General features: G+C 43.9%; 1 non-coding gene across 1 annotated transcript; it reads left to right on the top strand.

Moving 5' to 3' along the window:
• The first annotated feature begins 1,530 nt into the window (after positions 1-1,530).
• Positions 1,531-1,664, top strand: LOC124900517 (U8 small nucleolar RNA). Its single transcript, XR_007088708.1, has one exon. It is a non-coding gene; the product is annotated as a U8 small nucleolar RNA (small nucleolar RNA).
• The last annotated feature ends 538 nt before the right edge of the window (positions 1,665-2,202 follow it).

Genomic DNA, 2,202 nt, shown 5'->3' with positions numbered 1-2,202 from the left:
GCATGAGCCACCATGCCCAGCCCTTCCTCCTAATTTCTAAAGCTGCCAGTAAGCCCCCAAAAAGTTACTTTGTCCTTACAGGTTCTCTGAACCTGAAGGTGAGAATTGGCAGCAGGGGTGAGGCTAACTGAAGGAAGATGTCAGAGTTGCCATTGGATGGGGATATTGGCAGGAGCTAGGCCCTGTGGTTGAGAAGGTTCTCGTCTGTCTGAAGCAGGGTGAGTCAAACACTCTGGAGTGGGCTCCAGGAGAGGCTGGAGGCTGGGAGACTGGTGAAAATGGAGCTTCTTTTGGGAAAGCAGGGAGAGATTTTAGGATGTGAGCCATCGAGAGGGCCATCATGTGGAGTAGGACACCTGACTGCTGTAGGTGAGGACCCTGGAAGTATGCACTGAGGGTCTGTCCCAGCCTCGGTCTCTCAGCATTGCATCAGATATTTGGATGGAGGCATGAATAATAGTTGTTGGGGGCTGAGTTGTGTCCGTCGTAAAGAAATGTTGACATCCTAACCCTCAGTACCTGTGAGTGTGACCTTATTTGGAAATAGGATCTTTGCAGATAATTCATTAAGATGAGATCATACTGGATCAGGGTGCGCCCTAAATTCAATGACTGTTCTCCTTATAAGAAAGCCATGTGGAGATGCACAAACAGACACCAAAGGAAGATGAGCACGTGAATTCAGAGGCAGAGATTGAAGTGAGGCCAAGGAATGCGAAGGGCTGCCGGCAACCACCAGAAGCTGGGAGACCTGAGGAGCGATTATTCCTGGATCCTTGAGGGGTGCATGGCCCTGCCAACACCTTGGTTTCAGACTCTCAGCCTCCAGAACTGACAGACAGTAAATTTCTGTGGTTTTAAGCCTCCTACTTTGTGGTAATTTGTTACGGTAGTCCATTAGCAAACCAAACAGCAATTTATCCTTCTTGTAGATGAGACACTGCTGGTTGCCTACCCGGCTGCCATTCACCCATTCTCCTTACATCATAACCCTGAGTTTGTTCAGCATCACACAGAAATGTGCTCAGGGAAGGTGGCCCGATACTCGAGGGAAAATGAGTGGCCCAAGCCAGTCACAGTACATTCATTTCCCTTTGCAAGGAATCGTGGAGGGGATGACACTCGACTCTGCTCTGGCCTCTGAAATGTGAGGGAAAGTCTGTGGGCAGCCTCCGGGCAGCACTGAAGGAAAGCCTCCTCTGCCTTCATTCCTGCCTGAGAGATGGTCATGTGAGGATTTACTGTCTGCAGCCACTGAAGCCCTGGCTCAACCATGACAGAAGGTGACCCAGGGCCGTGATATTGTTGAGCTGTTAAACCCACAACCTTCAAATGGACTTTTTGTCATGTGAGAAAGATGAACTTATATCATTTGGTTGGATGTGCTGTTACTCACAGCTGAAGACAATCTAACAGGCATACTGGTCCTGATCATTAATACCACTGATAATGGAATCAGGATTAAAAATAATCTAAGACCGGAAGACTTGCTCCAGATAAAACACACAAACTGGAACAGGAATAAATGCATCATCAGGTGGGATAATTCTTACCTGTTTCTCCTTTTGGAGGGCAGGAAGAATAGGCTGATTGGAGATGCATGAAATGTGGTTAATGTCTCTGCGTAATCAGGACTTGCAACACCCCGATTACTCCTTTCTGATTCTCTGTGAAGAAAAAAAAAAGGAATAAATGTAAAATTTTTGCATTAGGGAGGAAGATGAATTGCTCTATTAAGATAAAATATAAATGAATATATATTTTAAAATTCTGTATGTCAAAAATACCATGGATAAATTTAAAAGAAAAATTACATACTGGGAAAATTACAACACAATAAAATATGAAAGTTTGTTATCCTTATACAAAGAACTCTTGCAAACCAATAAGAAAGTGGCAAAACAAAAACAAAAACAAAAAACCCCCACACACTTCGATAGAAAAATGGTAAGGAATAAGGAAAGGCAACTCCCAAAAAAAGAAATTGAATTAATCAATTAGATGAAATTCAACTTCACTGAATACAGTAGAGAATGCAAATTAAATACAATAAAATACACGGGGACATATTCAGGTTTTGTGAAGCCTGAAACTTAAAAAAATGTGGGAGCTGGGTCTCCAAAACTGTTATTTCAAAACTAAGTATGAATAAGAATTTTATTTGGCCCCGTCTGGGAGGTGAGGAGCGCCTCTGCCCGGCCG

The sequence above is a fragment of the Homo sapiens genome, chromosome 2, assembly GCF_000001405.40.
Source record: "Homo sapiens chromosome 2, GRCh38.p14 Primary Assembly".
In the NCBI taxonomy this organism is placed as follows: domain Eukaryota; kingdom Metazoa; phylum Chordata; class Mammalia; order Primates; family Hominidae; genus Homo; species Homo sapiens.
This window is presented reverse-complemented; position numbering and strand designations above follow the sequence as displayed.